This window comes from Homo sapiens, chromosome 3, assembly GCF_000001405.40.
Source record: "Homo sapiens chromosome 3, GRCh38.p14 Primary Assembly".
Classification (NCBI taxonomy): Eukaryota; Metazoa; Chordata; class Mammalia; order Primates; family Hominidae; genus Homo; species Homo sapiens.
In genome coordinates this window covers 186,612,470-186,625,415 of record NC_000003.12, presented here as the reverse complement: position 1 = coordinate 186,625,415, position 12,946 = coordinate 186,612,470, and the positions used below count along the sequence as shown (strand labels likewise).

The 12,946-nt window shown below is 45.6% G+C and overlaps 1 protein-coding gene across 4 annotated transcripts; it reads right to left on the bottom strand.

The window, feature by feature from the left end:
* AHSG (alpha 2-HS glycoprotein) lies at positions 4,098–12,356 on the bottom strand. 4 transcript variants are annotated; one of them, NM_001354571.2, is made up of 7 exons: positions 12,062–12,356; positions 9,621–9,731; positions 8,889–8,973; positions 8,066–8,232; positions 6,779–6,880; positions 5,476–5,559; positions 4,098–4,830 (listed from the first exon to the last, which is right to left on the bottom strand). In NM_001354571.2, the coding sequence occupies exons 1-7, from the start codon at positions 12,272–12,274 to the stop codon at positions 4,486–4,488; spliced, it is 1,107 nt and encodes a 368-aa protein (NP_001341500.1). In that variant the 5' UTR covers positions 12,275–12,356; the 3' UTR covers positions 4,098–4,485. The 4 variants fall into 4 exon arrangements, with proteins under 4 accessions (NP_001341500.1, NP_001613.2, NP_001341501.1 ...); NM_001622.4 differs by having other exon boundaries at positions 8,066–8,229; NM_001354572.2 differs by having other exon boundaries at positions 8,066–8,229; positions 9,621–9,728.

Genomic DNA, 12,946 nt, shown 5'->3' with positions numbered 1-12,946 from the left:
CACAACTTCTCCATAACAACTCTGGAATGGATGCTTATTTTTAGTAACATTGGTATCCTCCCCATTTTCCAATGTTACTTCCAGGATATTAGTCCTCTGTGCTCGCATAAAACCCTTTTTCTCGGCCGGGTGTTGTGGCTCACACCAGTAATCCTAGCACTTTGGGAGGCCGAGGTGGGCAGATCACCTGAGGTCGGGAGTTCGAGACCAGCCCAACCAACGTGGAGAAACCCGTCTCTACTAAAAATACAAAATTAGCTGGGCATGGTGGTGCATGCCTGTAATCCCAGCTACTTGGGAGGAGGCAGGAGAATCGCTTGAACCTGGGAGGCAGAGGTTGCGGTGAGCCGAGATCGCACCATTGCACTCCAGCTTGGGCAGCAAGAGCGAAAACAACAAAAACAAAAACAAAACAAAACAAAAGAACGCTTTTTCTTTGAGGACCATGCCACCTAGCTTGCAGACACTTTCCTCTTCCTGTTCCTGCCATCTTCTGACTTACTGGCCTCTCTGTATTGCTAACATCTTTGTCTCCTGGCTTATACTCCTGCCCTCCACCTTCACCTTGTCGTTATTCACATGGATTCATCTTCTGTACAGACAACACCCTTACTTCTTTCTCGCTTGACCAGCTTGATACCAGAGACCAGCATCTAACTCCATGTGAAACTGATCTACTCTTTGACTGCCATTTTTCCCCCCAACTCGATTTCTCCTTATTTCCACTGTTCTAGGCCACCCTGGCAAACTATAGCCAAAGGCCAAATTCAGCTCACTGCTAATTTTGTAATAAAAGTTTTATTGGAATACAGCCATGCCTATTCATTTATATATTGGCTATAGTTGCTTTCTTCCTAAAATAGCAGAGTTGCATTGAAATAGAGACCACATGGTCCATAACACCAAAGATATTTACTATCTGGTCCTTCACTAAAACGTTTTCTAACCCCTATTCTGGACAAACAAAATAAAAATATCTTTCTACGAAAGTAAAACTTGAGCATTATAGAAAGTTTAGGAAATAAGACAAAGCATTAATACAACAAAGAAAAGCAGCTCCCCATTATTCCATAATTCAGATATAACCACTGTTAGTATTTTAGTTTTTCTTCCTGTTACTTGGTAATTTTTTATGTCTGTATGTGTATATTAATATGTCTACATATATAAATTAATTTTAGAAATTCAGGATTATACCACTTTATAACCCACTTTTTTCATTTCAAAATATATTATCAATGTTTTTCTATATGAATTGTTACTTTTTAATAACATTTAATTGTTACTTTTTTATAAACATGATTTTAAATTTCTGCAAAGTAGTCAATGGAGTGAAGATAACATCATTTCACTAGCCAGCCTACTAGTACAGAATTTTTTTTTTTTTTTTTTTGAGATGGAGTTTCGCTCTTGTTGCCCAGGTTGGAGTGCAATGGCACGATCTCAGCTCACCGCAACCACCACGCCCGGCTAACTTTGTATTTTTAGTAGACACGGTGTTTCACCATGTTGATCAAGCTGGTCTCCAACTCCTAACCTCAGGTGATCCACCTGCCTTGGCCTCCCAAAGTGCTAGGATTACAGGCATGAGCCACCGTGCCTGGACAATTTTTGTATTATCTTAACATCCACCAAATATTCTTAATTGGTAGTAGTGACACAAGTATGGAAAAATGCACCTGAAATCCAATAACTTTGAAACATGTGTTAGACATGATTAAAATCCACTAAGAAGGCAAAGAAATGAGACATATGTAATGCTATTAATTTAGGAGAGAACACTCTGTAAAATAATAATGTTAAGAAAGTACCGAGCAGCATTAATACAAAAAATGTGCTATAAGGGTGGTAGATTTAACAGCTCTGTAACTCATTCTCTCTATTATTATTGGGAATAAGTAATTTTAAAATAATGCACATTTTGAATAATGCTGTCTCCAGATATGCATCATTTAGAGGAAACAAGTCACATAGGAAACTGTTTTAGGTAATTCTAGTGAGGAAATCCTGAAGGTATTTGGAAATGCAATGTTAGAATTCAATAAAGAGGTCCAATCTGGAGCTATTAAGTTGCAGTTATCTGGGTAACAATGATAGTTTAAATCATGAGAGAGGATAAACTTGCCAAGCAGAGTACATATTTAAGAGAAGGTCAACAACATAATCTTCTGAGGCCACCAAATTCAGAGGATGAGGAGCAGCAGCAGAAAGGGAGGGCACTTACTGAGAACCTAGAATGTGTCAAGAAGGTGTCATACATAAATTTGTAGCATCTCATTTAATCCTCCCAACACCAGTACATCAGCTGTTATCTATGTCTGGTTGTATAATGTGGGCAGAAAGAAGTGAAAGGTGAAGCAGCTTGGCTCAGGTTTTGCAGGTCTATGTGACTTCACTGCTTCTTTGAGAGACATGAGATCAAGGCATGCATTAGCCAGACACAGAAAAATAGACATAGAAAAATCATCTGCACGAATTTTAAGTTGGAGAGGAGGGAAACTGAGGTAATGCAAATGAAACAAACTAGAATTCACTGCCTCAGTAAATGCCCCCCCCCCACACACACACACACATCTATCCAGTTCACAAAGCCACAAATCCAGGAATCATCATCCTTCACGTCTTTCTCACTCCCATATCAAATTCATCAGCAGGTCTTGGGAGTTCTACCTCCAAATTATAACCTCTTTTTATCATGTCCACTGCCCACCACCTTAGACCAACTCATGTTAATCTTTTCTCTAGAAAGCTCTAGTGACTTTCTATCCTGTGGCTACTCTTGCCCAGCTACAGCCCACTCTCCAGTCTCCCTACAGCAACAACACCAGTAAACTCTTGACAACCAGGATGCCCCTAGAGCAACTGCATCTGCCAGTGGTCACCATGACCTCAGAGTCAGTCGTCCTTACTGCTCTTTCTACAGCATTTAGCACAGCTGCCCATAGCTTCTTCTCTGGCTTCCGTGACACCTAGTGGTTTTCTTACCTTTCTGGCCTTTCCTTTTGGTTACTGGAATATTGGCAAAACCTCTAGGCACAAGTGATAAGGTGAGTGTCAACACTTGATTCATTCTCCTTGGTTTAAAGTGAAGTCACTCAACTGGGTGTCAGTCCTGCCCTCTAAAATTCCATCTGAAAGGGCCCATCACTGAGGTAGATCGGAAAAACTTAATGCTGATGGACAAAAATTGAAATTGCCCAGGGACCATGCTAAAATGGGGAGGGTTTATTCACATATGCTATCTGAGCACTTGGACGGTGTCTACAAATGTCCACGGGATTCACCTGTCCAGGCATCCTTTATCTAATGATACTACAAGTCACAGCTTTAACTTGGGTCCTTAAAATAGATTGGCTAGGAAGACCAATCTTGTGTTATAAAATGAAGTGTATACAGTACACTCAACGTATATCTTAAACATAATTAACAACAGATATAAAGTGAGGATCTTGTTTTAATTACCAATCCCTCCTTACCTCGGTACTGGAGAAAATCAATGGATAGTTTATTCTGTACAAAGTTCAGGAGCTTGGCCCACCTTTAGCAATATTTTCTCTCTCTTATAAAATGAGAAGAATTATTTTCTCATAAAGAAATGGTCATATCTTGGCCAGGTGCGGTGGCTCACGCCTGTAATCCCAGCACTTTGGGAGGCCGAGGTGGGTGGATCATGAGTTGAGGAGATCAAGACCATCCTGGCCAACATGGTGAAACCCTGTCTCCACTAAAATAAAAAAAATTAGCTGGGTGTGGTGGCACGCACCTGTAGTCCCAGCTACTCAGGGGGCTGAGGCAGGGGAATCATTTGAATTTGGGAGGTGGAGCTTGCAGTGAGCCAAGATCATGCCACTGCGCTCCAGCCTGGGTGACAGAGTAAGACTCCGTCTCAGAAAAAAAAAAAAAAAGAAATGGTCACATCTTATGGGTTGTGGAAAGATCCTAGTCTCACTTTTTCCTGTATCTGGCAATACAGCAGGTTTTTGTTCTCTTTTGGTTCTCTTTTCACTTTGATTTTGATTAGGGACACTGTGTTTGTTGGGGTAAAAGGCTATGCATGTGAGGGGAGCTGGGATGAAGTCGCAATAAGCATGACCACATTCAGCTTAGAACCTTCTTTATTAAGGAAGGTCTTTCAGGCACTTTCATTAACAGGCACATATAAGCTTAGCAAGAGCACCTTTCAAAGTCACAGTTCCAATGGTTTTTGTAAGGTCAACCAGAGGCAGAGAACACAATCATGGTGGCTTACCGTCAAAATCATGACAAGTTGTCAACCTAATGCCTTCTGTCAAACATAACCACCACCCACTCTGCTTCTGTCCTGTGAGGAATGACGGGAAGTAGGGAGTCAAGACTTGATATTAATGTAGATCGCATGTGACACTTGCGTGGCCAGCAGACAAGGCCCCCCACCCATGCCCAGGCTTGGACAAAATGGTGGCTATGTTTTCTGTGCCAAACCTCCTCATCTCTGCCATGTCTAGCCTAGACCTTGAAGTGTCTGATCCTCCCCGGACATGGAGGAACCACTGGCCCAGCAGCAGCACCAACACTAGGCTGCACCACTGTGCGTGTTTTCCGGGGGTGCGACACTTCTCCTGAGGGTGACCCCAATGAGACCACACCCATGAAGGTGTGGCGCAGGTCGTAGTGCGCCCGGTGCAACTGGTGTCCTGGAGGAGCTGCCAGTAACACATGGGAGTCTGGGGGTGAGCCAGCTGGAGGGAGTCCAGGTGCGCCAAGTGGAGGGGACGGAGGTGCATCTGGGTCCACCACGGGTGTGGGGACTGCTTCATTGGCACCTTCTGGTTGGGGCTGTGAGCTCACGGGCTGGAAAAAGGACCATTTCCTTCAGTTAGTTTGCTTCCTCCTCCCAGGCAAGACAACCCACAGGCCCAGGTGGCACTGGCACCCAATTTCCTCACATTATACATTTTTATTTGCAAAGAGTCTAGCAAGAAAGGACCTACCCAAGTACAAGGGATTGTCATCAAGGTTACAAGGAGGGGTGACTGGCCTATGTTGGCCCCGGCCTCACTAGGATTGTCTTTGTGATGGTGGACTTACACGCATATGTCCAATGAGTAAAAGCACCCCACCTATGGCTCACCCTTGCCCAGCAGTGCCACCCTCTTTGTCATCTGAAGCTGCAGCCACTGGGAGCTAACAGGTAGATCTGGCCACCTGGTCTCTGCAACTCAGAAAACCACTCCCACCTCCCACAAATAAAAAGGTGGCTTTGTCAACTACACAGTAAGATGGTTCTTCCCTGTAGTCACTAGTTCGTGGGAGGGAAAGGCATAGCTAAAATATCCTTCCATTTGTTGATGATTCCGCATACCCCAGTGTTATTTCATACTGTGAGATTCAGAAGCACAGGAGAGCAAATGTCCTGTCATCACTACTGCACTGCATAAATGTGAAGGGGTCATTGTATTCTGAAGGTGTAGGCAAGAATATTCACGGAGCTGTTACCTGTGTTTGGAACACCATGCAGGTCACTGCAACCTCTGCCCCACCAAGCTTCTCACTGAGTGTTGCCTTACAAAAGCCATATTGCTGCCCACAGAGAAAGAGGATTTATTTTAACTAATTTCAAAAATGGATCCCCCCCAATTTCATTGACGCGCCAACCTTAAATTAGTTTGAAAAACCATTTTTCTTAAAGTTATAGTTTCTGCTTGTGGGAGGTATATGATTCTATATATAACATGGAAATACAGAAATACTTTGAGAGTGAGAGAGATTACCCATAATCCCTTTCTGGTGGTGGCCTAGAAAGAAGGACTGTTAACATTGATGCATTTCTTTCTTATTTTAAAATACTATTAAATATGATTTAAAAATTGAGATCATTGTGACTATACGATGTTGTATCCTGTGTGTTTTCACTTGCCATAATAGCATTTTCTCATATCATTCATTATTCCTTGAAAACACAATTTTTAGTGTCTGCACAATTTTCTATTTACTGATGTGCATGGATTATTCAATGACACCTTCCTGTTGGACATACAGATCTCTCTTTTTTGGTCTCTTTATATCCATAATAAATCATTTTTATAGATATATTCTGTCAAATGTCACTGATGAATTCTTTTTCTTTTTCTTTTTTTCTTGAGACAGAGTCTCGTTCTGTTGCCCAGGCTGGAGTGCAGTGGCACGATCTTAGTTTACTGCAACATCTGCCTCCTGGGTTCACACCATTCTCCTGCCTCAGCCTCCCGAGTAGCTGGGACTACAGGCGCTCACCACCAAGCCTGGCTAATTTTTTTGTATTTTTAGTAGAGACGGGGTTTCACCATGTTAGCCAGGATGGTCTCGATCTCCTGACCTCCCGATCCACCCGTCTTGGCCTCCCAAAGTGCTGGAATTACAGGCATGAGCCATCATGCCTGGCCACTGATGACTTCTTTAGACTAAAATCCTAGAAGTGTACATTATTGGCTCAAGGACTTGAAAGCTTTTGTATCAGAGTTATATGTCTAGAAAATGTGCACTTCACATTCCCAGTGGGTGGGCGTGACTTGGCTTCATTAGCAAATAGCCTCTCTCTTTCTCCTAACTTCATGTGCTTCCAGTGGGTGAGATGATTTGATGACAGCTCTTAAAGGGATGAGGTGACACCCTAAAAGAAGGCTTGCCGTGATCCACAGGGAGAGGGGATTTGCACTGTTATTCTCTGTCTGCAGCCCCAAGATACAAACTATCCAAGGATGTTCTGTTCCACAAACAGCTCTGTCCGAGTGGTAACACCCCAAGGTCCCGGCCCACTCACCTTTTCTGCCAGCAGGTTACACTTGGCTGCCTCTGTGGCCTCTTTAGCAACACAGTCAGTGCCAGACACTGTAAACTCCACATAGGTAGAAGGTGGGAGGGGCTGAGAAGAGTACATGAAAATGCTCTTGAGGAAAGATGACTTACAATGAAAAGGGCAGAGAAGGAGAGCGGGAAGTAGCCTCCTTCGGGGAGCACCATTCATGCAGACCATGCGTCGGCCCAGAAGACATGTCCCTCAATGGCTTACATAGGGCAGTTGCTATGGGGTTGTGTTCTCAAGTGCTTGTGCTTTAGAGGTAGGGGTTGTGTCTTCCTTGTAGGAGGGGCAAGTATCCATCACCGGTCCTTCAGGGTGGAGGTGAGTTTGCAGATAGGAAACCGGAATCAGAAGGCCAGCATTAGACTGATAGGAGTGGGAACCCTGCCTCCCCCCAGCCCTCACTCTTGGGCTGCACTTGATACCCAAGGTTCAGGTTATTCCAAAATAGGGTGGGAAAGTGAAGAGATTAATACCTCTTCCACCTGTTTCATAGAGCAGGCTCAAATGAAAAGATTTAGATGAAAGTATGGAAGATATCACTTGAGCTTTTCTTTTTTAAAGTAGTTGGAGCATATGGACACAATAAAATATCTGTTATTTGGTGTAGTCTGGGGTGGGGATGTTCTGAGAATCACATATTCTGATTAATAGAATTGCCGTCTATACTAGCGTATTTCCAAGTATGGCCATGGCTGATATCCAGAATACATTTTCTTAAACATTTGAATTCTGTTGAATTCCAATGTGCTAAACCACCCACAGTACAATGAGATGTTTTCTCCAGTGACTCGAAAGGCATTTTAAGATCTTGCCATTATAAGCTTGTCAGCACAAGTGAGTATTAATTACGAGTCTGTGGCAGATGTTCAGCGGAGATGGGTGGTACTGGAGCCCAGCAAATTTACAGTGAGTGCTTCTGGCCGACGTGGGCAACTCTACCAGCTGACACTGAGCTTTGGTTTTAGCTGGAACGGAGGGAGTGGGGATGTACCTGCCGGCAGCTGTGGCTGCTGGACGTTACAGTGGCTCAGCATGGGGGAGGCGCTGAGGGTGTTGGGGTCCTCATGACACTCAGGAGCCTCATACCCCCTTAGGATGCTTTCTTCCCTTTCCAAACAACCCTCTCCTTGCTTTCTCATCGCTGCCCCTGCGCCTGTTCTTCCCTGCCTCCCGCTCCACCACGTACAGTACATTCCCGAAGTGCCACCGAACTGCCCAACCTGTCAAAAGAATCTCAGTCTTTACCACAAGCTGAGCCCGGGAAATTTCCTCCAGCTGAAAATTGGAGCCGTTGTTCTGAGCGTTGAAGGCGGCCAGGGCAGCTTTCGCGGCGTGCACCACCCTGGTGTCGTTCAGCGGGGCCAGCAGGGGGCAGTCTTGGCACACCTTGCGCACGTCCTCGGCTGAGTCTGCTCGGAGAGAGGAAACCAGGATGTGGGCAGCCATTCTCCCTGGCATGGCCCCAGCTCTGCTGCGTTAGCAAGGGCTAAGGCATTCCCCAGATAGCTTCAGGCACTTTCTCTGCTTCTTACTAAACCTTCAAAAGGCTTTTGCTATGCTGACATTTCTGCAGGAGCTCTTATCATCACGAGGCAATTTTCACTTCCAGTAAGAATAACTTCTTATTTTTTTGAGACAGGGTCTCACTCTGTGTCACTCAGGCTGGAGTGCAGTGGTGCGATCTCGGCCCACTGCCACCTCTGCCTCCCAGGTTCAAGCGATTCTCCTGCCTCAGCCTCCCTAGTAGCTGGGATTACAGGCGAGCACCACCACATTTTTGTATTTTTAGTAGAGATGGGGGTTTCACTATGTTGGCCAGGCTGGTCTCGAACTTCTGACTTCAGGTGATCCACCTGCCTCGGGTGGGTGGATTACAGGCGTGAGCCACCGCACCAGGCCAAGAGTAGCTTCTTAAAACACAATTTTAAAAATCCCAGAACCCAGGAAATTTGGCTTCTCCTTTTCCTCACCGACAAAGCTGCTAGAACTACTTAAGTTGAAAATTATTCAGATCCCTTCCCCACTTTCTCTACAAGGAAAAAATGAGAATAAGAATAGTCATCTGTACCTGGACTGGAATCACATTTTGCGTATACCACGGAAAACTTGCCATCTAGTTTCAACAGCTGGAAATCACAGTCTCCTTCGACAGCCTGGAGAAAGAAACCCACGTGAGGATGGCTGCCCTTCCCCTTCGCACCCCGGGCAGGCTCCCTCCAGGCACGGCTGTCAAAGGTGACCCTTGCAAAATCGCCTTTGCTGGGTAATACTGAAACATGGCACTCTCTGCTTTCAGGGATACAACGATATAGTTAAACGCTTGTAAAAATCAGCCCCAGGGCAAGTGGCATCAAATGGCAATTTTATTTATGATGATGATTATTATTATTATTATTTCGAGATAGAGATTCACTGTTGTTGCCCAGGCTGGAGTGCAATGGCAGGATCTTGGCTCACTGCAACCTCCACCTCCCGGGTTCAAGCGATTCTCCTGCCTCAGCCTCCCGAGGAGCTGGGATTTACAGGTGCCCGTCACCACGTCCAGCTAATTTTTGTATTTTTAGTAGAGATGGGGTTTCACCATACTGGCCAGGCTGGTCTTGAACTCCTGACCTCAGGCGATCCACTTGCCTCAGCCTCCCAAAGTGCTGAGATTATAGGCATGAGCCACTGCGCTCGGCCACAAATGGCAATTTTAGAAACTGCACCCTGGCTAGCCAAGAAGGCAGGCTGAGACGCTGGGTGAATCGGTGGAGCTGGCCGAAGGGCCACCTACAGTCATCCTAAGAAGGGTACTCACATGCTCCTTCAGCTGCCTCACGCTGCATCTTGCCACAGGGGTGGGGTCCAGCACATGGCAGGTGGTTTCCAGGGTGTCTATTTCAATCTCAAACAGCTCTCCGGAGGGCTGCTGTGGAGACAAAGAGTGAAGCCGTGAGCAACCTATTCCCCTGATCCTGTGGTGCGGTCCACGGTATGCGCCCTCATTGGGCTTGAGAGCACCCCGCTTTTGGAGAGGTGAGGGAAATGTCATTCTTACTGTCAGTCTGCAACTCCGTCTAGCTCTGAACTGGCCTGTGGGCAGGACAATGACCAGGGCTTGTCTGGTCTTCGTCTGTTGATTAAGGAAGCACCAGATGATGCTCGCAAAGCAGACGGGGTCCTGGGCTTGAACAAGTCGATGGAGCCACAGCCCTCACTCTGAGCTCTATTTGAAAACTACAAATGGGTGTTAACACTTATTTGTATTTATTATTTATTTAATTTTTTAAGATTTCACTCTTCAAGCAGTGCTTTGGAAAATGCAAGTTTGGATTTTTCTCAGACAAGCTGCAAAATAAGGTGGTGTAGGGTAATATCTTACTGTCTTTTTTTAATCTCCTCTATCCCTCCCTCTCCTTCTTTCTTTCTTCCTTTTCATTATTTGCTTTCCTTCCTTCCTCCGTTTTCTTTTCCCTCCTAGAGGTTTTTGCTGCTGTTGTCCTTGGTTTTTCCTTTGTCTTGGCTTGTGCAGCAGGTGCCGGCATGCAACGATGCTGCTCTCTACTTCCCCCTGCTGGCGATAATGGGGAAGGGCATGTCTCCCTCTGACAGGAAACTGGATGTCACTAGTGTAGACACGAGGGAGCTTGCAACAATCCTTGGAGATATTCTTGTGAGTTCACCTGTTTCTGTATCTTGTCTTCGAAGCCTGAAAAATCCAGAAGGTACAAGTATGCCTTTTCTCCTCTCAGCCCAGCTCTGTTTGCCTCTCATTGGTTCTGCCTGATTCACTAGTACCTGAAGCCTCAGCATCCCCTCCCCTGGGAGAAGCTCCGCATTTTATGATGTCCAGGTGTGCCCAGAGTGACTGCCTGAAAGCGTTCACAGCTCTGGCGAACAGGAACCGGGTACACCTGGGTTTCTCAAGGGAACCAACTCTGAAGCTCTGCCTTTAGTAAAAGTCACAATGCCCATTCATGATTACCTTTTCCCTCAGATGTGCGTGTTGCGTGTTCATTTCCCCTGACTTGATCAGCGTTTCCTCCTAACCACCACTGTGCTTTAATATGGCTGCAGCACTCTTAAAATCCATCCGGAGCAATCCTGATTTCAAATATTTTGTCTCTTTGTGAGACGGATGGCAGTCGTCAGTCGGTCCAGGCTTCCTGTTGTTGACCTTATTTTCCAACCTAGATTGTAAGCTCTTGTGGGCACATATTGTGCCTTTTTCACCACTGTATTAGGTTGAACCATTAAAACGGCCAATATTTGGTTGCTTTTGATATAGAAAAATGGCAGTTTTATATGGTTCAACCTAATATCTCTGGTTCTTGTCCAAGGAAGGCTTGTAATACATATTTGCTGAAAGAATTGTCCTTAATCAGAAATAAATCTAATTTCAAAACAGGCAGTAGGCAGACAGCTTCTTTCCACCTCTCCAAATCTCTTGACTGATCCCCGAGGCATATTTCCAGCTTGATTTTTCTTGTCACTGGCTTCAAGCTGCGTTGGTTTCCTGTCTAGTGTGTGAGGAGGTGAATTGTGTTTATGCCAAGACTTCTCTCTGGGATGTGGGTAACTCTCTTTGGGAGGCAGTTTGTGTAGAAGAAGGAACACAGATATGGAATCAAATCCCAGCCTGAAGACTTAGTAATTATATGATTTTGGACCAAAAAAAAAAAGACAAAAACAAAAAACAAAAAAACTGCACACACACACACAACAGAGCCTTGGTCTCCTCTTGGGTAAGACAAGAACAATATATGTACCACACAGCACCAGGAGGCAGGACCGGGAAAGAGTAAATGAGATAATCTATGTGAATGGGCCTGGCATATAGTAGGCATCTGCCAGATGCTAGTTTTATTCATTCTCAGTCTTTGTTAGAGAGAAACCAAACCAAAGACAGATACGTGATTTTCAGCCAGTGGTAACTTGGCAACTAGGAGCTGGTCTCTTGGGTCCTAGTTTTTCCAGCAAGTTACACTTTCTGTCTGTGATCTGCACACTACCATTTGAAGCACTTTTTCTCCTGCACACCACCTCACACCCCACCCAGCTCCCTCCTGACACCCATGACTGCCATACAGAATGTCTCCTCTCCTGCCCTCTGCCTGCCCCTTCCCTCACTCCTGGGAAGAAATCAGAGAATTTACTCCTCTGTGGTTTCATTTGCACTGGGTGATGGTGATTTTTTGAGGCACCTGATTGAGCTCCATGTACACATTATTTCAGCTCATAGACAGCAGGTCCACTTACCTGAGGCCACACCTTTACTTCATCAATCTGGTTCAAGGTGTGTTTGTATCCCCAAGGAAGGTTTTGATTGATGTAGTCTATAGCCACCAGAGCTGCTTCCTCAGTTTCTGGATCATCGCAGTTCGGTTGTCTATAAATCAGCCCTGGGCCATGTGGGGCTGAGTGGCAGCCCCAGAGCTGAGCAAGACAAAGGAGCAGGACGAGGGACTTCATGGCTGCCCCAGAGAGGCCCTGGCAGGCGTGCAGGTGGTTGGAGGCTTCGGGACCAACCCAGGTGCTCTGCTGGGAAAGGTAGACCCATGGAGGGTGGTGGGCTTTATTTATCTGTTGGAGCCTGCCGGAAGAATTGCATAAGGATACAGGATGATTTCTGCTTTGGTTCAAAAGAAAAAAAAAAACACCCTGCAAACATCAGCCCTGGAAAAGCAAACAGGTTAGGACATCGCTGGTCCCCAAGAAATCTGCCAAAGTCCATGCTGCTGTGGGGGAGATGCTCCAAAGTCTGCTTGGAACATGGTAATAGCAGCAAAGAGAAGACAGCTGAGGGAATGAGGTGGACACAGTCAGCCTCAGAGTGCCATGGGTTTGGCAGCAGAGGAAATGTCTTCTACTGTGATCTGAGCATGCCATGGGGTCTGTGAGAGGGAAGGGAGGATACTCAGCAATTTGATAAAATTCTCCAATGTCAGGGGGAGTTAGCTTTCCAAGAGGAGTCCTACAGGGAGAACAAGGCCCACAGATATAGCAAAGGTACAGATGTGTATAGGAGATGCCAAGATTTTGGGGGAAGATTCTTGGAGAAAAGAAAAAGGATGAGAGATGTTTCTGCCTAAAGTGGGGAATGGAGGTGGAAGAAGGGGGTTCCCGTGGCAGGACCACGGTGGG

Coding starts and splice junctions, on each gene's coding strand:
- AHSG (NM_001354571.2), bottom strand. CDS start 12,274: ATGAAGTCCCTCGTCCTGCTCCTTTGTCTTGCTCAGCTCTGGGGCTGC. Junction 9,732..12,061: donor AAGTAAAGGTGTGGCCTCAG/GTAAGTGGACCT, acceptor TTGTCTCCACAG/CAGCCCTCCGGAGAGCTGTT. Junction 4,831..5,475: donor GCATGGTGTTCCAAACACAG/GTAACAGCTCCG, acceptor TCCTTTTTCCAG/CCCGTGAGCTCACAGCCCCA.